At 39.6% G+C, this 23,338-nt stretch overlaps 1 protein-coding gene across 9 annotated transcripts in view, besides 1 other annotated feature; it reads right to left on the bottom strand.

Annotated features, from left to right (window-relative positions):
• The window catches only part of NKAIN2 (sodium/potassium transporting ATPase interacting 2), a 1,021,776-nt gene extending 1,015,744 nt beyond the window's left edge, over positions 1–6,032 (bottom strand). For 8 of the 9 annotated variants that reach the window (XR_007059213.1, XR_007059215.1, XR_007059214.1 and 5 more), the window contains exon 1: positions 5,643–6,032. Coding sequence is in view for 3 of the 9 variants with exons in the window: in NM_001040214.3 (NP_001035304.1) it covers positions 5,643–5,696 (54 nt within the window). In the remaining 6 variants the exon portion in view is untranslated. Of the gene's footprint in view, positions 1–5,465; positions 5,513–5,642 lie in introns of those variants that run through there. The other variant, NM_001300740.1, reaches the window with a different exon arrangement.
• Positions 7,227–7,276: an enhancer, noted in NCBI's record as "active region_25025". NCBI's record gives its function as "activates an Ori minimal core promoter by ATAC-STARR-seq in GM12878 lymphoblastoid cells {active_cell/tissue: GM12878}" and the evidence as "EXISTENCE:reporter gene assay evidence [ECO:0000049][PMID:35858748]".

The following is a 23,338-nucleotide window of genomic DNA, read 5'->3' as shown; positions in this document are numbered from 1 at the left end:
ATCAAGTTAGCATGTGATCCACAACTAGCTGAAAGGGTAAAAATCATAAGCTTTTGAAGTCACCTTATTCTTATTTCAGGTTGGAAAAACAAAAAGAGTCTATACCTGCATAAGATTAAATCTTAGAATATTCCTATAAGCTAGACCCACTGCCTGTTTTATAATTCAAGGAAAGAAAAAGAAAAATACTTATTTCAGGAAGATGAAGCTAGTAATTTCTTTATATATTAAGCATTTTATATCTAAACACAACTGAAGTATTTTTTAACAAAAGAAAAAGCGTAACAAATTTATTACGTGCGCACATGTGCACAGCAGTATTACAAAATATGAACTCCTGAAATACTAAAAGAGGAGAAAACCAAGTTATAAACTTCATTTCTACCATAACCTGGAGAAAGAAAATGATATAGAAGTTTATCTTGTTCCTTCATAATTTTTAAATGTGCTTTAATCTCTTGGGAATGGTAAGAACAAATGCTTCATATAATTTTATTTCCATCCTATAGAAATTAGGAATAAATAGAGTACTTATTCTATCATTGTATGAAAAAAGGTAGCCCTACATACATTGTATCTTGATGGCTTATGTATTTTATTATATTGATAATAAACAACAATCAAGTTTCCATGAGGGGAAAAAAATAACAAAAATCAGAAGAGTTCATTATATCAGAAAAAAAATGGGAAACAAATATTTTTCCTATGTGTGTGTTTCATTTCTGACATTTGTATGTTATTGGAAATAGGGTAATTTCCATTAATAGCAATATTAGTTTCAAAACTGCTTATGAAAAAAGTATACTGCACTGTTTGAAATTCTACCAAATAACATAACTGAAATACAACCTTTGGAATTGTAGGCATTATCTGTATATACGAATATTTAATGCAATTGGTGCCATTAACTTTTGTATTTATATTTCCAGGATCAACATAGAAATGTTAAAATATGTTTCTGTCTCTCAGATTTTATTTCTCTCAAGCACACACATATTAAAAATAAAAAACAAAAAATAAAGACTTCCTATTTTAAGGAATCCCTGACTTCCACTCTGAAATTCCTGACTGGGCAAGTAGAGAATCTGACCTCAAAGTAAAGCAGCATCAGAGGGAAAGGAGGTAGCAAAGCACATTTGCATTTCTGGGTCATTACCCACATACGGGCCCCATGCCAGAGATGACTCTGGCACTCTGCAGAAAAAATGCTGCCCATCCAAGCCTTTATTTGAGAAAGCAGGAGAACAGCTCCACATGGGTTGACTTTTTGAAACTTTAGCTGTATTCAAGAAAATAAGTCGCTACCTGCTTTGTGAACGAAGAAAGAAGAGTTGGACACTGGAAGAAGTTTCTAGGTATCTCCTGGTATATATAAGGCAGAGAAGAGTAGTGCTGAATTACAGTGAGAATAAATTAAAAACAAAACCATGTGCAACAATATTCAGGATGCATAAATAGAAAACATTTAAAAAGAAGAAAGTTATCATTTTACAACTTAGCAAACTCAACATATTTTTACATGATAAGTTTCTAAAGTATTGTATGGGGATTTTCAGTCTTCTTCATGAGTAAGTTTGGTTAACAACTTCAAGATTTTATCATCAATGGCATCTGAATCCTAAAAAGTTAAAATTCTCTGAGCCAGGAAGTTTTGTGGCAGATAAAGTTATAAACTTCTGAAAAACCGTCAAACTTGTCAGAAGTATACCAGGAATATCATAAGATTCTACCTGCACTTTTCAAGCTACTTCACAGCAACGCTTTATTTTCTAAAAAGTAATAAAATAGCACATGATTATGAACACTGCATAAAATCATGATCACTGAAATATTCCATAATTATAATAAAATTGTTTTTAATTTAGTCTACACTCACAACATCTTAAGGAAAAAAAATATGTACCTTTGAAAATGGTTAGCAATCCTGTGATAGAAAGTAACTGATCATTCTTAATTAAGTTTCAAATGTACTCCTTCACACAGCTGCACACACAATGTGTACTAACCTAATTGTTAGTTGCACCTGCTCCAAGTTAACAATATTTCATACAGCCCATGGCAATAGTGGCATTTTTCAAGTGTTATTCTGTGGAGTGTAAATCTAAACTTTCTTTCAATAGTTTATGACATGTTTTGTGCCACCCAGAAGTCTAAAGTACAAAATAGGGGATTTTGAGTTTCCTTACTTGAAAACAAATCTGTCCTTTCAGTCTAAATTAAGTTATATTCTTTCATATTTTAACGTATTTTTTCACACTGAGAGATATCAGAGTAATTTTTTCCACATTTATAAAAGAACTCTGATTCAATCAAACATTGGGGAAAACATGCCAAAACTTTCACAAGTTGAAAGTTACAAATAGTAAATAAGAAGTTAAAAACTTCTTGTCCTATACCACTACATCCACCATTGCAAATGCAGTGATGATTTTTGTTACTATCTGAAATCTTCAGTTTCTGAGTATTAAGGACAGCAATGATAAAAAGAAAATTACCTTCTTGAGATTATGAGCTTAAGCTCTGGATTCTGCACATGGAATAAATCTGTTTCCAGAGATCATACTCCTTTACGTAGGAATCACCCTAAAATCTGAAGTTGGCATAACCATACAACTCAAAGATTTTAATTTATGATATATATGGAAACAGTTTTTCATAAAATGGAAGTTTTGTATGAATCTCTATGGTATGGAATTCTAGTTTCTTGTTTTATAAACGGATCTCCTGATTTTTGAGAAGAGTATATGTTTATCAATACTTGTAGTCTGCCAAACATTAAATTAAATGTATATTTAACTAATTTAAAGCACAGATATAGAATTCTGACAGGTAAATGTCTCTGAAGAATCTGCCTCTGTCCCTCAATTGTTAAATGGTCAAAACACCGTGTCTGGTCTGATAATAACTTAATAAATGAGATCACCATATCCACAATACCAAAAGCCACCTCATCCTCTCCTAAGATTAGCTGCAAATTGGTACAGATGTAAATATTCCCTTAAATTTATTTAAAATACAAATACTTTGCTCCGAGGACTGGAGATTAATGTTTCCAGAACCTTAATCAAGTCACATAATAAAGCAACTGAATAAAGTTTCTAACTTAGAGTCTCTTTGGCCTTTTTTCCTGTACAGTTACCAAAAAAAAGATGCCCAAATGTTACAAGAACACATACTAAACACTTGAGAAGTAAACAAAACTGGGTTAACTTTTATTTCAGTCAATGGTACATGAGTCATAACTTAGTCTAGAAACCTGGTTTATTTGTAAAACAATCTACTCATAATAGCGCAAAGACATAAAAAGTTTTTAAAAATCTATTGAGAGCAAAAGGAAAACATACACACCCACCTATTTTTTAGTGCAGGGCTTTGCAACTATTAATTTGCAAAAGAATTATTTTATTTAAAATCAAATACCGTATTTCCAAAAAGCAACAATTACCAAGAATCTCTGAGGTCCTTTGAGGTGTGATCATTTCACCCTATCAAAACAATTGCATTTTCTTTGTCCTTTGTTTTTTGTTCTGCATCTGCGTTAACATGGCTGCTAATTATATTAGCCTGGTGGCACATAAAGTCTGAATGGGAAAAATCACATGATTCTCATATAATATAAAAACTCCTTAGGATTCCAATGTACACTTACTTAGATTGTGCTCTTCTGTATTACAGCTACGTCTATTCTGTTAGAGAACTTAATTATAATTCAGAATTTCTGTTTCATAAGTGATGGTGCAACTCTCCAAGACACCATTGTATGTATGGATGCATGCATGTACTCAAGAGCATATGTACATACACACATATGTGAGCACATAAAAACACAAAGGAACCTTTAGCTTTATCATTCTACTTTGAATAGATAGCTTCCCTACTGGTATATTTATGTTTTTCTAAAATTAAGTTCTTGAGGAGTTTGTATTCATCACACAAAATGTCATACAGACCTAGTGCATACATTTGCCATAAGAAAGCCCTATTATATTACATGATTAGAAGTTAAATCACATTTTTCAAATTTTAAATCGAAAAGAGCATAAGAATGATCTACACACCCACTCATTCTCACATTTTTATGCTTTCACACAGTGAATCAGCAAATGTATTCTTTTTCTGAATAATATATAAAAATAAGAATGTTTTGAAAACCTTTATACAGTTTGGCAGACTTAGCCTAATGGGTTGTTTAACAAAGTAAACTCCCTCATTGTTTTGGTTAGCTTTATTATTAAGAGTAAAAATCCTTCATTGCAAAACTTATATGAATCTGTGGTACAGAAAAATAAACTGGTTTACACATCATTGAGAAACTACCACATTCTGAAAATTACATTTATAGTTCCATCTTTGTCTTACAACCAAGTGCATAAGCGCATAAATCACAGATCAAAATAGACACCATCAGATAACTTTCAGGGGAAAGAAAAACATCCTAAGACAACACACAACAAAAAGCACTGTTTCAGCTAAATATTAAACAAAGCAGCAATAACTAACACTCATGGGCTTCACGACAACTGATAAACAAGAACACTTAAGGAATTCCTCTGCCAGTTTCAATGGCAAATCCTTGCTCTTTTGAACACTTTACTGATTGGACACTTAAACATCTTCTGCCTTGTAGTCACTTCAACCTTTATGAAACAGTTGTTGAAAACGGACATGACTATTCCAGTTAATTTATACTTTCTAAGGAAATATATTTAATGACAAGTGTGAGCAAGTAGCTCCTACCTCAAATTAACCACTTAGAGTGGTGTATTTTTCACCTCTCAACTCTCTACTCAGACCCTCCTTCCATTGCCCTTAGGGAATTGAAATTCAGAGACATGACGTTTTCCATTATTGGTTCCTTGCCCCTTTGCAACTGTACAACATTCCTCAAAAAGTACATAGAATTCTCCATCCTATAGGATCAGACAACAGTATCTATTTCAGGAGCAATAATATGCATAATGTAAGACAGAATAGTTTTTCTTGGAATTGTCTGTGTTAATTGTGATTTAAAGGTTACTGGTTCCGTCTATGACAATGGTGTTGCTGAGTTCACCTAAGTATTTTTGTTCAATCTGCATACTTTAAAAACTCAATGTGGCTAAAACTCAAACAGTCTAAATTAGACTGTTGTAAGGATACCATGTGCCCTAAACAGTGGTTTTTTTAGAGCATTATACTTAAAGACAACATTTTCCTTAAAAAAAGAAAAAAAACATGTCTATGAAGAAACAAAGATACTGCAAAATTAGTATAGAGAAGAAAAGTCCAAAATTCCGTATTCCTCTGTTTAACAACCTGTACGGTAAATTGTAGGTGACAATCACGTTGTTACATGAATAGGAATGCAAAGCATAAAGAACAAGAGCTACATCTTGCTTTTCCTAAAGAAATTAAAGACAAGTTTAACCCGCACCTGCCAAACTGTCTTAAAAGGGACAGAAATAGGTGGGAACGGAAAGGCTCACCTCTCCTGTACCCCAGAGTGCGTCTCCCTGAAATCATCTTCAATATAGGCAATATATCTGTCACCTTCTCTTTTATCTTTTTCGTCCATTCTAGTCAATGGCAGACCCTTTGCTGCACTCCCCTGCCCACTATCTCAAAGACACATTACAGAATAAGGGGACCCAAGTGTCACTTACCAGTTGCATGCCACAGATAAAGATAAGCGTGCACCTGCCACTGCAATAACCCATGGTTTCCGAGACCCCTGCCACAGCCAGACTGTCCCACGTCGGCCACCGTCGAGCCCCCACTTTATCCAATCAGATCGCGGGGAAGGACACGCAAACCTGCCGAGGGCTCGGGGGCTCCGGGCTGCTGCTGCTGCCAGCGTCCTGGGAAGTGACAGGCATTAGGACCTGCTGGCGCGGCGGCGGCGGCGGCGGCAGCTCCAGCCGCGCCCGCCACACATACCTTCACTCGCTCGGTGCACACGCCGCGCCGCGGGCAGTGCCGCCTGCGGAGGCGCGCTCGGGGCCCGCAGGGGCAGCAGCGGCAGCCTGGCAGCGCCGCCGCGCCCTCGGGCATCTGGCCCGCGAAGTTTCGCCCCTGCCGCTCTCCGCGCCGCTCGCCTCACGCCCCCCAGCGCGGCCGCCGCCCGACGCGCGCTCGCCCTGCGCTCGCCGCGCGCCGGCTCCGGGGGCGGCAGAAGCGCGCGAGGGCCGCTGCCCGCCTCCCTGCGCAGCCCGCGGCTCCTAGGCACCCTGCGTTGCTGGGCCCGGCGGGCGGGGGTGGGGCGGGGAGCGGGGCGCGGGCCGAGCGGGGGCGTCCCGGCTCCGCGGTCCCCGGCGGCTGCTGCAGCGGCTGCTGCGCGCAATGATGCGGGTCCGCGCCGCGTCCCAGCAGCGGCGCTGCCCCTCCCTTCGCCCAGATGTGTGAATCCTCCTCCTACAACAAATCCTTCATCCTGCTCCCTGCCGCCCCCTCCCAGGGGGCCAACTTTGAGGACCGCAGGGGCTGCCGCCCAGGCGGCCGCAGGCGGCGGTGTCTAGGCGGAAAGGAGCGGCGCGAAAGCGGCGGCGGCGGGGACCGGGGCCTCGGGGCGAGGAGTCTGGGCGGCATGACCGCGGTTTGCTGAGCTGAAGTCGGTCGTGCTCCCAGAGCCACTCCGCGGGAGCGAACCGAGTGTGTGTGTGCGCGCGCGCTCGGGGGAGAAGGGACCAAGAGGAGGGTTAGGGAAGGAAGCTGGGGTCATGGAACAGGGGTGCAACCGAGGCATCCAGAGCGGCCGGAAAGCCCGAGTGGCGGAGAGGCCAGAGGTGGCGAGAAGGGGCGCGGCGGCACCGGACGCACCGCCCAGCACCTGGCTCCCCTGGGCTCCCGAGGATCTGAAGGGTCGGAGCGCGGAGAGCTACGGAGCCGACCCTGCTTGGGGAAGGGGACCGAGTTGCTGCTGGAGTTGGGAAAAATTAGCAACCGGAGGGAATAGGGATGCAATGAGTTGCTGTTGCTGCTTCAAACTGTTGTTTGTTTTCACTTAAAATACTAAAGAGTCGGAGACTAGTTTAATACTCAGTTACTTCAGCTTCACAGCAGTCCCAGCTGGGTGTGGATTCCTAGTGGAGATGCACCAGCCTCCGCTGAGCACCGGCCTGAAAGCTGTGAAGCGGCTGCTACCTGCAGAGACAGGCTTCGGAGCCCGCTGCTGCCACCTGCGGGCGGAAAGCTGAAGGGCGCAACATGCTGGCCCAAGTGGCTGCCCCTGGGGCGTGGATATTTAGGACCAAGTTTCCTTTTTAGCCCTGGCAGCTAAGGAAAGCAATCCTAACTTTTCCAGGAAGTGAAGATTATTTGTTGAGATCCACTGAGGAACTGACTCATTGGGGTGAAGTGTCGCGATTGATAAGAGGATGGTTTAGGGAGCTAAATAGCAAACAGCTCCCTAGCACCCTTCTTAAGAGATTAAGATGACGAAGCCACATCAAGCAGAGAGCTCTCTGTAGCAACTGGAACTTGGCGCCTACTGAGAAAAATGGCATTTATACAGGATAAAGTTATGCTGGGAACCACAAATAAGGATCCCGAATGATTGCTTCCTTTGAATAAACATTATGACGTATCAGAATGACTAAATACAAATAAATTGAATAGGGCAGAGAGACTATTCTCCAGAGCCTGGCACTGAATTTTCAGAAACGTTTCGTCAGTCCTAGGGAGCCAAAAAGGGATTAACTTTGTTAAATTTATGGAGCACAGATATTTTATTGCTATAATGAGAATGTCTGGTTTTAATCGACCCATTTGTAAAGGGGCTTTTCTTCTGAAAAGTGTCTTTCAATGTTTAATAAAATTCCCAAGAGCCCAATATGTGCTCTTAGGCACTGCAAAGCCTGGAAGGTAATAGTTCCACAACCTTTGGTAAAACTGAAGCCAGTTATCTAGTGGAAAATGTTTCTCTTAGTTGCTCTTCTGTCTTTATACACGTTAGCTGTCCTGTACCTGCTAGGGCTATGGGTATTTTGCATTGCCAAACAGAAAGCTGTAAGTTAATTGACTGTTGAAGAAGCTGCTGCCATACTGTCAAAAGCATTCTATTACCTCCTCAAATTAATCATAGGAACAACACATTTATATGGATCCCTCCGTAATCCTGCAGAGGTTTCCCTGCAACCAGCAATAGCCTGAGTAATCTTTAGGTTGTATAGGAAAGCAGAATGCTATCTGTAGCTGACTCCAGCAGTGCCCCACCATAGTTCTTGGACTGTGCCCTTTCAGTCCATGCTTGCGTTTTTGTAATCACTTGGGACAGTCTGTTTTCTAGCCATTGGAGGTGCTTGGCTGAACAATAAGGTTCCAGCCCTAAGAGCTACCCTCACGCAATAATGGATGGGAATTGGAGGATAAATACCCCAGCTTCTTCAATCCTCATATGGGAAACCGTCAGACATGTTCTAGTCTACACCATTAAGGTCCCCACCGAGATTGAGCCCTAGGTGTCCACAGTAGTAACTGGCTCATTCATGCGCTCTGAATTGGCTTCCTTCCCTTCCATGCCTCATCTCCCTGCTTTCATACCACTGCTTCCTGGGATCACCTCTGAAATAAACCACTCAAATCCTTGTGTCAGAGCCTGCCTCTTGAGAATCCCAACCTAAGGCAGTCTCCAGGGGCTTTTATACCTCATCTGACGTCATTGGCACAGTGTTCTCAGAAGTGTGAACTACAAACAATGTTGAGACTTCACTATGTGCAACTACTGCCTTATGTACTAAACCTACATCGTCTCATTCATTCCTCACAGGAAACACATGAGTTGATACAATGCACATTCTAAAGATATACAAACTCAGAGAGAAATCAAATATTTTTATCACGGGTGCACGTGTTCTTGGCGGCAGAATTAGAATTTGAAGGGCATGATTATAAGACACCAAAATTCGCTTTTCGAACTACTGTACCACACTCCTTTATTTCAATATACTTCCCTGTCATTCTTTTAGAATTCCATACGAAAGTGATGACAAAAATATTTAGAAGAATAATCACACATATTTTATCTCTAAATTGGCATCACATCCTTTACATACAGTATAGGCAATGCCTGACTTATGAAAGGGCACCCTAGTTATAGATGCAATTCTATAACTTAATGTGGCTATGCACTTCCTATTCTGTTTTCTATTATTCCTGGAACTGAGTGTCTTAGTAGAAGAGACTAAAAAGAGAATCCCAACAGTTCCACAGACGTTTGTGAAGGAGAGAGATGTCTCCAATTTGAATGTTGATTGCATTTTCACTTAGAAATAAGGTCATAAACTGTTTTGCTATATAAGGTGTTAGACCTTTTGTTGACTAATATGGTGACATAAGTATTGTGAATTGCCTTGTTTCTATGGGGAAAATGTGCTGCACATTCCACACCTCCATCTGCCTCACCTTCCCGTACTGTTTTAAAGTAGTTTTCAAGGTTGTTTCAGATCTATTATCTCATTTATCTCTCAGAACAACTCATGCAATGCAGTAGGCACACAGCCACTGAGTGAACCGGGTTACAGACTGCTAACACTCAATCACTTCAGCTACACCAAAAGCTCAAGCTTGGCGTTGCAACTCTGCTAAACAATTTCACTGAGTTTTATTGCCTCCATTCATTATTTTAAATCATGAAAGCAAAAATTAGTTCTCTTGAAGATTTTTGTGGGTACATAGTAGATGTATATATTTATGGGGTACAGGAGACATTTCGATACAGGCATAGGATGCATAATAATCACATCTTTACAATCACAAAACCAACCTATTTGACTCATTGTACACATTATATATTTTATATTAACATGGATTTTTTTCTTGTTTGGATAATGATTAGGAAAATGATAGTATATTTTAAATGTTAATGGCATATAAGATGAAAATAGCCACCAATTCTTCCATCCAGAGATAATTGATGTCATTTTTATACAAACCATTTTCTAACAAAAATAGGGTGATATCATGCACAACATCTTTTAACCTGCTTTTTTTCACTTGACAATAGACCAAAAACATGTATCCAGGTTATTAACTATTAAGTTCATGGACTCTGCAGCCAGACATTGAGTTTCATAATCCAAGCTCTGCCATTTATCAACTATGTAGTCTTAGGTAAATTGCTTAGCTCTTTGTGCTTTGGTTTTCTTATTTATAAAATGGGAGGGGTAATAATGCACATATAGAGTTTTTGGGAGAATTTAGTAAGCATCAACTAAGTTAAACTTTTAGAGCAATGCTGTATTAGGGCTCTCTAAAGAGACAGAACTAATGGAATATATATATATTTATATATATATGGGAGTTTTATATATATATGTTTTATATATATGCCATATATATATATATATATATATATATATATATATATATATATATGGGAGTTTATTAAGTACTAACTCACAGGATCACAGGGTCCCACAATAGGCTGTCTGCAAGCTGAGGAGCAAGGAGAGCCAGTCCGAGTTCCAACAATGAAGAACTTGGAGTCTGATATTCAAGGGCAGGGAGCATCCAGCATGGGAGAGAGATGCAGTCTGGGAGGCTAGGTCAGTCTCACTTTTCGCATTTTTCTGCCTGCTTATATTCTAGCCAAGCTGGCAGATGATTAGATTGTGTCTACCCAGATTAAGGGTGAGTCTGCCTTTCCCAACCCGCTGACTGAAATGTTAATCTCCTTTGGCAACACCCTCACAGACACACCCAGGATCAATACTTTGTATCCTTAGATCCAATCAAGTTGACACTCAGTATTAACCATCACAAGTCTACCTTTGTCAACTTGAACCCATATGCATTTCCTGATATCATACATAATCTTCAAATAATGACAGTAATAAGGTCATAATTATGCCTAACATAATACAGCTATCTTTCATACAAACGGAAACCCACCAATCCCCAACCCGAACACTATTACATAAAGTTAACAACACTTAAATGCTCATGTGAAGTCAAAAACTCTTATGTCACATGGGAAAGGAGAAAGGAAATAAAATGAAGATATTTTCTTAGTACAAGTGTATACAAGCACAAACATATTTTTAACAAAAGAAGGAGGAAATAACTCATGACAATTACAGTCCCCATAGCTGCAGCAGGTCACCTGGTCATAGCTGGTATTGATGACTGCCTTCTTCTACTATCCATTCTGTATTCCCTTTGCCTTCAGCAAGCACCTTAGCAGGGTGTGTGTGTGAGTGTGTGTGTGTGTATGTGTGTGTGTTGTTTTTTTTTCCTGGTAGAGTGATGCAAACCTTCATTCCTGAAGGGTCTGGTCATTCGTAGTCCTGTTTGGATTGGGCTGTTGTACTTTCCATTGACCTTAATCACAGGGCATGGTAATACTAAGAGACACTCTAATGGATCTCCTGTATTTCATGCATACTCTTCCTTACCTTCGTGGTGGAGTAGTAGACTGATTTCTTCTTGACAGTCCAGGTCAGTCACCCCAGCTAACACTGTAACTCCCTTCTTAGCGTATTGACTTAAAAGTAGGAAGAGCCCAAAGTGTCTACATGGGAATTTTAACTTTCAGCTTAATGGAATCATTGGGTCTCCTGGTGGCAGCATTCCTCCTTCTGGAACTAAGACCTCTAGGCCAGCAGAATGTAATGTTGTAGGAACAGGAAGCAAACATTTTGTTAGTGCTACTTCCACTTCCACCCATTGAATCCTGGACCCATGAATCCTGGCTATGGGAGAAACAGTACCATATAGCGGGCACTGCTTCTGAGCATACACAGCCTTCTGGAGAACTTTGCCCCAGCTCTGCAAAATATTGTCACCTAGTTGGTGTTATAATTGTGACTTCAAAAGGCCATTCCACCATTCTATCAATCCAGCTGCTTCAGGATGATGGGGAACATGGTAAGAACAGTGAATTCCATGAGCATGAGCCCACTGCTGCACTTCTTTACCTGTAAAGAGAGTGCCTTGGTCACGGGCAGTGTTGTGTGGAATACCATGACAGTGGATAAGGCATCCCATGAGGCCACAGATGATAGTCTAGGCAGAAGCATTGTATGTAGGATAGGCAAACCTATATCCAGAGTAAGTGTCTGTTCCCATGAGGACAAACCTCTGCCCTTCTCATGATGGAAGAGGTGCAATATAATCAACCAGCCACCAGGTAGCTGGCTGCTAACCCTGAGGAACGGTGCCATATCGAGTGCTCAGTGTTGGTCTCTGCTGCTGGCAAATTGGGCACTCAGCAGTGGCCATAGCCAGGTCAGCCATGGTGAGTGGAAGTCCATGTTGCTGAGCCCATGTGTAACCTCCGTCCCTGCCACCATGGCCACTTTGTTCATGGGCTCATTGGGCGATGGCAGGGGTGACTGGGGAAAGAGGCGTCCACAGAACAGGTCATCCTATCCACTTGATTATTAAAATCCTCCTCTGCTGAGGTCACCCTGTTGGAGAGCACTCACATGGATACAAATATCTTCACAATTTTTGCCCACTCAGAGAAATCCATCCACATACCTCTTCCCCAAATTTCTTCGTCATCAGTTTTCCAATCATGCTTTTTCCAAGTCCCTGACCATCCAGCCAAACCATTGGCTACAGCCCATGAATCAGTATACAATCACACATCTGGCCATTTCTCCTTCCATGCAAAGTGCACAACCAGGTACACTGCTCAAAATTCTGCCCACTGGGAAGATTGCCCTTCACTGCTGTCCTTCAGGGATGTCCTAGAAAGGGGCTGTAGTGCTATAGCTGTCCACTTTCAGGTGGTGCCTGCATATTGTGCAGAATCATCTGTGAACCAGGTCCTAGTCTTCTCTTCTTCTGCCAGCTTATCATAGGGAACTGCCCATGAAGCCATTGGTACAGGCTGAGGGAGAGAAGGCAGGGTGGCAGGAATGGAGACCATGGGCATTTGAGCCACTTCCTCATGTAACTTACTTGTGCCTTCAGGACCTGCTCAAGCTGGATCACATATACACTTCCATTTGATGATGGAATGCTGCTGTGTATGAGCGACTTTATGGCTAGATGGGTCAGAAAGCACCCAGTTCACAATAGGGAGTTCAGGTGGCATGGTGATTTGATGACCCATAGTCAAACGTTCAGTTCCCACCAAAGCCCAGTAACAGGTCAAGAGATGTCTCTCAAAAGGAGAGTAGTTGTCTGCAGAAGATGGCAGGGCCTTGCTCCAATATCCTAGAGCCCTCCACTGTGATTCACCTATGGGGGTCTACCAAAGGGTCCAAACAGTATCCCTATCTGCCACTGACACCTCAATCACCGTTGGATCTGTTGGATCATATGGCCCAAGTGGCAGAGCAGCTTGCACAGCAGCCTGGACCTGTTGCAGAGCCTTCTCCTGTTCTGGACCAGACTCAAAACTGGCAGCCTTTTGGGTAACTTGATAAATGGGCCAGAGTAACACACCTAAATGAGAAATGTGTTGCCTTCAAAATCCAAGTAGCTCCACTAGGCATTGTGTTTCTTTCTTGGTTGTAGGAGGGACCACATGCAGCAACTTAATCTTCACCTTAGAAGGAATATCTCAACAGTCTGCACACCACTGAAACTCTAGAAATTTTACTGAGGTAGAAGATCCCTGAATTTTAGTCGGATTTATTTCCTATCCTCTGGCATGCAAATGTCTCACCAATAAGTCCAGTGTGTTTGCTACTTCTTGCTCACTGGATCCAGACAGCGTAATGTCATCTGTGTAATGGACCATTGTGATATCTTGTGGAAGCGAAAAGTGATCAAGATCTCTCCGAATAAGATTACGACACAAAGCCAGAGAGTTGATATACCCCTGAGATAGGACAGTAAAAAATATTGCTGGTCTTGCCAGCTGAAGGCAAATTGCTTCTGATGGGCCTAATGGACAAGAATGGAGAAAAAGGCATTTGCCAAGTCAGTGGCTGCATACCAGGTATCAGGAGATGTGTTAATTTGCTCAAGCAATGAAGCCACATCTGGTACAGCAGCTGCAATTGGAGTCACCACTTGGTTAAGCTTACGATAACCCACTGTCATTCTCCAAGATCCATCTGTCTTCTGCACCGGCCAAATGGGAGAGTTAAATGGGGATGTGGTGGAAATCACCACTCCTGCATCTTTCAAGTCCTTGATGGTGGCACTAATCTCTGCAATCCCTGCAGGGATGCAATATTGTTTTTGATTCACTATTTTTCTAGGTAGAGGCAGCTCTAAAGGCTTCCATTTGGCTTTTCCCACCATATTGGCTCTCACCCTACCAGTCAGGAAGGCATTGCAGGGGTTCTGCCAGCTGTTAAGTATGTCTATGCCAATTCTGCATTCTCACACTGGGAAAATGACCACAGGATGAGTCCAGGGACCCACTGGACTCACTGTAAGTCAGACCTGAGCTAAAACTCCATTAATTATCTGACCTCAATAAGCCTCTACTTTAACCGGAAGACCACAGTGACATTTTGGGTCCCCTAAAATCAACGTCAGCTCAGAGGCAGGGTCCAGTAGTCCCTGAAATATCTGATCATTTCCCTTTCCCCATTGCACAGTTACCCTGATAAAAGGCTGGAGTTCTCACTGGGGAAGGATGGGAGAAAGATTCACTGCATAAATTGTTGGTAATGTAGTGGGGCCCTTCCTCAAGGGGACCTGGCCTCTCCTTCATTCAAGGGATTCTGGGTCTGTAAACTGGCTCAACTCTGGAAATTGATTGAGGGGCTATGATTCTCTGTTTCTGTAATTCAAATTAGTCTTTTGTACATTTAAGCTAGACATTTTCTGTTTATATAAATTAAATTGGAATGCAGCAGGCTTCCTATCAATTTCACTTCTAGGAACACTGTGATTAATTAGCCAATGTCAGTGCCCTACATGAGTCAGACTATTCTGATTGTTGCTTTGCCTCTGCTGTCCATCTTGCCTTGGATGGTTGAGTGCTGCCACTTGACTTCTGCCACCTTGGGATCCAATTATTCTCATTGTATTTAAATTTTGTAGTTGAGTGACTGCAGTTCCCACTGTTAGATCTCACATACAGAGAAAAGCAATTATAGGGTTCTTCAATGATGCAGGTGCTGCCCTCACAAATCTATTTCACAAGGCTTTGGTCAAGAGTATATCTTCTTGGCCCTCCCAGCTGAAATGAGTAGGTCTAAAGTGACTAATCCACTCCATCATCCCAATCTCTTTAAGCCTTTGGATCCCTCCCTCTACAGTAAACCAAGGGAGATCAGGCATTTCCAGCTTGCTCACAGTGGGCCGTCTTTTAATCCTATTTCAATTCAGAGCTCAGTGTTCCCAGCTTCATCAGGGTCCTCCCACATGTCTCTATTCCAAGTTGCAGGGTCCCATACTTTTCCAATCAATGCCCTCACTTTAACAGTAGACACCTGGCAAGGCTGTGCATGCAGCTTTCATTGCAAGTCAGCCACTCACATGATAAGTTTGTGTCTGTTTTTCCACAGTTTTAGCTCTTTCTCTCCAGGAGGTAAGACTCTCACTCAGGGCAGTCTTAGCAGATTTGAGGCTCAGTATCTGCTTCTGAAGACAGGAGATAGAATCCCTGAGGTCATCATTTTCTTTCATCACTTTGTCCGCTGAACTTAAGAGGGACCAACCAGCTTCATTGTGTTCCTTGGTTCTTGACATATGGTCAATGGTATTATGTATAGAGTCGCTAAACTCCTTGCCTCTTATGAGTGATGAATCAGGAGTGTCAAATGCATTTATTTTGCATAACTCTCTAAACAGTTCCTGCCAAGGACTATCAATGCTCTCCATACTATTAGAAGTAGAGTCTTTAGCATTTTGGGGTCTAGTCATATTAAGCAGCCAAATCCAGAAACCTCAAAACCAATGAAAGAACTCCATCCTTAATATTCTGTTCTTCTAGAACTACTGCTGGTACCACAATCTGCATTAGTCAGGGTTGTTTAGATGGACAGAATGAATGGAATATATATATATACACACACACACATATATACGTATATATATATGTGTATATATATACACACACATATATATGTATATATGTGTGTATATATACATATATGTATATGTGTGTATATATACATATATGTATATGTGTGTATATATACATATATGTATATGTGTGTATATATACATATATGTATATATGTGTGTGTATATATACATATGTGTGTGTATATATATAAAAAAGAGGAGTTTATTAAGTATTAACTCACATGATCACAAGGTCCCACAATAGGCCTTCTGTAGGCTGAGGAGCAAGGAGAGCCAGTTTGAGTCCCAAAACTGAAGAACTTGGAGACCAATGTTCAAGGGCAGGAAGTATCCAACATGGGAGAAAAATGTAGGCTGGGAGGCTAGGTCAGTCTCTCTTTTCACATTTTTCTGTCTGCTTATAGTCTAGCCATGCTGGCAGCTCAAAGACACACCCAGGATCAATACTTTGTATCCTTCAATCCAATCAAGTTGACACTCAGTATTAACCATCACAAATGATTAGCAGTTAATACTTTAATATTGTTAATTATCATTATTCTGCATAAAACTTAGTTTTTATGACTATATAGAACACCAAGTATCCCAATTATTTAATTCATATCCTTTTCTTATACCTATAGCTTTTGTGATGGACAAAATAATGGCCCTCTAAATATGTCCACACTATAATTCTTGGAACCTGTGAATATATTACCTCATAGGACGAAAGAGACTTTGCAGGAGTGATTAGACTAGGAATCTTGAGATGCGGAGAGTATCCTGGAATATCCAGGAGGTCCCAATAATAATCACATAACCCCTTAACAGTAGAAAACTCCTCCAGGCTAGGAGGGGAAAAGATTTGTAGATGTAGGAAGGGGGCTACGAGCCAAGCACTACTCTCTAGAAACTAGAAAATGTACAGAAATGGAATTCATTCATAACTTCCAGAAGGACAACATTTATGCGAACAGCTTGATTTAGCCCACTGAGACCCGTGTCAGGTTTCTGACATACAGAATTGTAAGATGATAAATATGTGTTATTGATAACAAATATGTGTAATTGTAAAGTCCTAAATTCATGGTAATTTGTTATAGTAGCAACAGAAAACCAGTTCAGTTTGCTTTCAATGCTTCAATATTACACATTTTTAAATAAATAAATTTATAGATAAATCTTTGCCTGTGTTACAATTATTCCCTTATAACAAATTTCTAGAAATAGACTTGTAAGTCAAGGAAAAAAGCAAAATTGTAAGGCTTTTGATAAATAATAACAAGCTTACTGTAAGGGTGTTCTATCAATGTATCTGTGTGGGGGTTGGACAGGCTGTTTTCCCTATGCCTTTACTAGTAATGGATATTATCATTTTTTAAAAAGTTTCCATTTTCCATTGTAATTTGCATTTCTTTTATACAATGATTATTTACTAAAGACCCAGTAAGTGTGTTAAAATGGACCATGACCTGTAAATACTATATATCACAATGATTCCCACCTTTCTGTACTGATTTGTCTTAAAAGTTCAATTCCATTCCTTAATAAAATTATCCAGTGACAGATTCTGTAGTACAGAACCATAGCAATAAAAATCCATTTATCCATTTGACTAATATGCAGGCCCTCAGAGAAAACATTGAAAAGATATTAACCAAAGATGACAGATTATGCCATGAAAAAGACCACAGCTGTAGTTATGATCAATGACTGACCAGTCAGATTTCTGTATTAAATACTACTTGGGATACATCCTTTTAAATTAAATGATTTTCACTTGTAATTTATGTACATTTTACTTTTCAAGTAGAGTGTCACGAATATACCAAGATCTCAGTAGCTATTTGCTGATGATCATTTTTGTATATTAATGAATTTTTTAACATTTCAATTATATTTAATATGAGATATTCTAAGCAAGTTAATAAAATTATTTTAAAAATATAAGAACCTTAGTTATACTATTTTAGCAAGTTATCTCAGAAGGACATACAATTTTAGGAATGAAAATATTTGTTAGAAATTAGAAAAGCCATATGTTAGTCTCTTTATTTTCCTCTAATCTGTGCTGATTTTTTTTTTTACATGAAGAACTAAGTGTAAGGTTCTAATTGTTATTGCTGTGTAACAACCACTCTAAATGATGGCATTAATGACTATCTTATTATGCTCAGAGATTCTGTGGGTAAGGAATTTGAGGAGGTTTGGGGAGAGTTTGTCTCTGCTCCAGAATGTCTGAAGCTTCAGCTGGGAAGACTCCAAGCCTAGATGTGACTCCATGGTTCAGTACAGGGATCATCTGAAGACTGGTTCACTCACATGTCCAACACATAGGCTGGAAGGACTTGAAGACTAGAACTGCTGAGCAGAGCACCTACATGTGTCCTCCCTTTGCAACTTGGCTCCCTCCCTCGGGGTAGGCAGACATTTTACATGGCAGCTGAGGGCTCCAAGCACAGGGTTCCAAAAAACAAGGTGGAAGCTGCACTGCCTCTTATCACCCAGCATCAAAAGTCACACAGCTCCACTTCGGCCATATGCTGTTAGTTATAAGGAAGTCACAAGACCACCTTATTTGAAAAAGGAAGACCTCAAGTGTCACTTATTAATGGAAGAAATGTCAAAGAATTTGAATGCTATGATTTAAAACCTCTATTTTAATCATCGAATCATAGTTATATGGAATTTACTATCTTGAAAATTAAAATAAGTAAAAACTAAAATTTAGACAGTAATGCTGTTGTGTTAAAATAAAAAAGTTATCTTTATGCTAATACTGTGGAGAAGCCAGCTAATTGAACATAAAAGAAATTGTTGCACTAAATGAACCAGAATCAAAATTAATAATAAAAGTAATCATTTGACTTTGAGTTTTATATATTGTGGGCAAGGAAAGTAGAGAGAACATATTCCATCCGTTCAAATTACTTCACATACTCAAAAGCAAGTGAAAAGTTGGGTTTCATTTCCTACAATTATGAGATGAGGAATAGAGTATTTAAACCATTCAGTAGAATGAGACTAAACAAATGATTCAATTTTAGTGAGGCTATAGTAATATGTACACTACTTTTTTTTTCTGTGTAATTAAGATTTATTATACAGCTTGAAAGTATCTTTCCAGATAATGTATTTACTGTAATATTTCTTTATTTGCTGTGCTTTCCCCAGTTTATCCTTCTACAACCCTAATAAACACCAATTTAATGGAATATTAGAAAATGACAAATCTTAGGAAGGTAGATATGGTATGCTTACTTATAATAGGATTAAATCAAAATCCTTATACATTGGTATGTTTTGAGCTTTTAGAGGGAAAAATAAATACCCAAACACCGTTGTTTCTTTGTAGTTAAGATGTTCAGTAATATAAATACAGTATTCTAATCAAATATGTATTTTTTCTTTTTGAGGGAAAGAGGTAGATTCTTTAGTGGAATAGTGAATTTAAATTGACCTTTTAAAATCTGGAAGTGGATGAGGGTGGAAACATTTTGGATTTGCCCTTTGTTGCTGTGAGCTGGAATATAGCACCATGATTTCTTTGGTAAGTCTGTTCCAGCTTCATCACCCATTCTGGGACTGACTGGTAAAGATGCAGTAATTCTTAGATGCTTCCAGGGGTCTTTTCCCAGGCATTCTGTGGTAAGTACGGGTGCTCCTTTGATACCTCCTTAAAATGATCTTAAGGAGGGAAGTATGGCCAATAATCCTGCCTTCCTCAAGTATTTTTGTCTTTACATATGTCTTTTTGGCAAAACCACATAAGCACTAATTTCCAGTCACTATAAAAATATCATTAGTCATAATGCTATTCAGCCCAATCACCTCCTCCTTGGGCATTACAATGGGAAAATGATGAGTCTCCAGTTAGCACTGTTGGTGCGACCAAAGATTCCTCCACAGGGCCACAGGGGATTTCTAGATACTGTCCACACATGACTTAGGAGGCCAAAGGACACTAGAAAACTGTACCCAGACTTTCTGTCAACCACAACACCTTGCCACTTTTACTCGGATGATACTGCCCCATGCTGGTGCTGTGGGGGAGAGAAAAGGAGCAAAAACCATTTTCCTCTAGACTTTGCTCTCAATCTATACCCACCATGCAAGAATGTGATTCTCTGCCAGGATAGGGAAGGAAGAGACCAGTAAACACCCTCCTACTTTGCTACTCCTACTTATGCCATGATTTACTTTCCACCATCCTTCTAGTGGCTGAAAGTGATGTTTCTCTGTCTTCTCCCACCTGGTCAAGACCCCCTCTGATGGATATCTTTATTCTTCCAGGAGAGAACAATCATAGAAGATGGGGTACAGGGAGAGAGCAGCTGGCAGAAAGGGAGCAACAATGTTATTATACTTGTTAACATCTGCAAGGTGAGTGAAACACAGACATCCCCTTTAGGGGTTAACATTTGGAAGGTGAACGTGGGCAGAGATTCTAAAAATTACCATAACAAAAAGAAAAATGATTAAGAGCCATAAATCAGTAGAGGTGAGGGCTGAAAGCTGTGGCAGTTCTGAGGGGGCAAATTTATTGCCCCCTGGGTGAATCAGAAACAGAGGATTTAAGCTGGCTCAAGTCGGTAAGGTAGAAAAATCACAGATCCAGACTCAGCAAGGAGATCAGTTTAATGGCAACACAGGAGCCTGGTGGAGAATGGAGGCAATGCTGTTGAAATGGCAGGTCTGAAGGTCAGTCTGAAGAGTTTAGGCTTTTACCACGTAGGCAACAAGAAGCTCCTTACAGATCTTGATTAGAGTAGTGACAAGAGCCATGCTCTTCATCCAGCAGCTGTACATCAAATATGTAGGAAAGAAGGAACTGGAGCTATAGGAAGCCACCAAATACCACAGCCAGAAATCATTGCTTCGTATTGTATACTAAGGCCAAGACATCCAGAAATGTATTTTTATTCTAAATTATCAGATCAATTCATTTATTACCTCTGTTACTTCAATCCTTTGCCAGTGTAAATGTATATGATGAATTTGATGTTCTACAGCGCCTTTGGCAGATATCTTAATACTTGTATTCTAATAATAAAAGATACACTTTTCCTATCAGTTGTTACAGTGACATATGTATCACCATACTTAGATCCAAATATATCATGAGCTTCATTTCTAAATAACACACGATATGCAACTTTTGCCTCTCAATAACTTTTATTATGTCTTAAGCTTGGTTAACCAAAAAGTGACTGAGGCAGCTCTCAATAAATAGAGGTTTATTTAGCCAAGGTCGAGGACATGCCCAGAATGAAAGGCAAGTTACAAGAGCATCTGTGACCTGTGCTTTTTCAAAACAATGGGAGTTTTGGGAACTTCAGTATTTAAAGAAGAAAGAGCAAGCAAGAGAGGGAAATAAAAGAAGGGAAGGTAGGCAGTGAGGCAAATAGTTGCATTCTGGTGAGGCTCTGATTAACCTCAGTAAATCTACACTTTACGTGTGAAAAGTGAAAGTAGAAGAAAAAGTCAATTATGCATTCATCTCAGTGTAGGTGGAGGGATGATTTCTGGTCTTGTCCTTGTCCTCTCTCTGTGAACATAAGCTGGTAATTGACACTGTCAGGGTGAGATTTCAACAGAACTTGGTTTTAGGGCTAGTTTATAGGGAGGGATATGCATCCTGAAAGATTTAGGGGTTCACAAGGAATTTCCTTGTGACCAATCGGTGAAGGAGGCCTTCTGGGGAGATATGTGACTTTCTATCATGATGGGTACCTGGATTATGGATGAGGTCATGATATAGGGTTGTAAAATTGCAGCTCTCTGTTTGGGAACAAAAGAAAAACAGCATCGGGAGACTCAATTCCCAGGTTTAACTTTCCCTTTGGCATAGTAACTTTGGGGTCCCAAGATTCTATTTTCTTTCACAGTTTAAATATTAAGATATAGGAACATCCTTATACATGTAATCTATTTAATTTTTAATACATTTTCATTAAAATATGTCTACTTGGATGGAAAGATAGAAAGTAAATGTTTGTTCAAATGGCAATATATAATTAGGTATCACTGTTGGACTAAAGACTGCCATTTTAAAATGATGCCCTAGAGAACATATTTAAAATGTAGGTGAAAAGAGTAAAGCTAGGGAAATATTTGTATAATTAACTTAAGACATTATAAAAATTATTGGACGTTTATAGTTGTTTGTATTCATTCCAGCAGAGCTATAGCAATACCAAATTATTAAAGACATTTCATGGTTCCTATGAAGATGGAATGCCAAGTGCTTTTTTTTTCTCTTTCTCCTGAAGGATTTCATGATTTGATTGCCCAAGTGATATTTATATTGTCACATACTTTTGTGAAATGCTTTATGTTAATTACAGTTTTCACATTTTGCATGGTGACAAAATTGTCATATTATCTGATGATTGAAATCTTTTTAACTAAAAAGTGACTTGTGTAAAGAGGTCTTAAAAGTAGATATTTCTTCCAAAAACCTTTATTTTAACTAAGTAAAAAATGACTTTTTGGAAAGAGTTTTCTTTTCTTTATTTTTTATATTTATTTATTTATTTATTTTTGCTAGAAGGAGAAGTACCATAAGCTATAAAAATGCCATGGGTGTTCAAATGTAAGAAAAAAAAAATACTATGTTCCAGATAAAAGCTTAGTGAAGTGGAATGATATTCATGGTCAGTAAAATTGGATAATGAGAATGATTGACAAATATGTAGTTCTCAATAGATTACAAAGTATTTTCAAGATTATCTTAAGAAAAATATTCACGCCCTTGTTCCTGCTCCCACTATGTGAGATGCCTCGTTCCCTCTTTGCCTTCCGCCATGATTGTAAGTTTCCTGAAGCCTTCTCAAAAGCAGAAGCTGCCGTGCTTCCTGTATAGCCTGCAGAACCATGAGCTACTTAAACCTCTTTTCTTCATAAATTTAAAAAAAAACTACATCAAATATTTCCATATATAAATTTGCCTCAAAATTCAAACACTAAAAACACGTAATTTTACATAAATATTGTTGATATAAAGATGTTTTGTAATTATTAACATTGAAGGCTTACTTTCCCTGCTCATAAAGAAAGCAGAGCACATCGTTTGTCCTGTCACAATGGCTCACTCCATCTTTTAGTACTTAATGTCTAACTGTACCTAAAGACCTGCCACAATGGAAAATACAGAAGGACTCAGCGTTACAGAGGCTACAGTATCTTCTGCATGCTCTGAGGCCAACTAACATAATTCCATATTAAGTCAAACATAATATTTATTTATTCTTTTACAGATTGTGTTTTTGCTCTGTTGCCCAGGTTGGAGTACAGTGGCGCAATTGTAGTTCACTAAAATCTCTAACTCCTGGGTTGAAGCAATCCTCCCACCTCAGCCTTCTAATTAGCTGGGACTTAAAGGCACATGCCACCACACCTGGCTACTTAAAAAATTTTTTTCTTCGAGACAGAGTCTTAC

This window comes from Homo sapiens, chromosome 6, assembly GCF_000001405.40.
Source record: "Homo sapiens chromosome 6, GRCh38.p14 Primary Assembly".
Taxonomy (NCBI): domain Eukaryota; kingdom Metazoa; phylum Chordata; class Mammalia; order Primates; family Hominidae; genus Homo; species Homo sapiens.
Note: the sequence above shows the minus strand (reverse complement) of the source record. Positions and strands in the feature narration are given on the sequence as shown.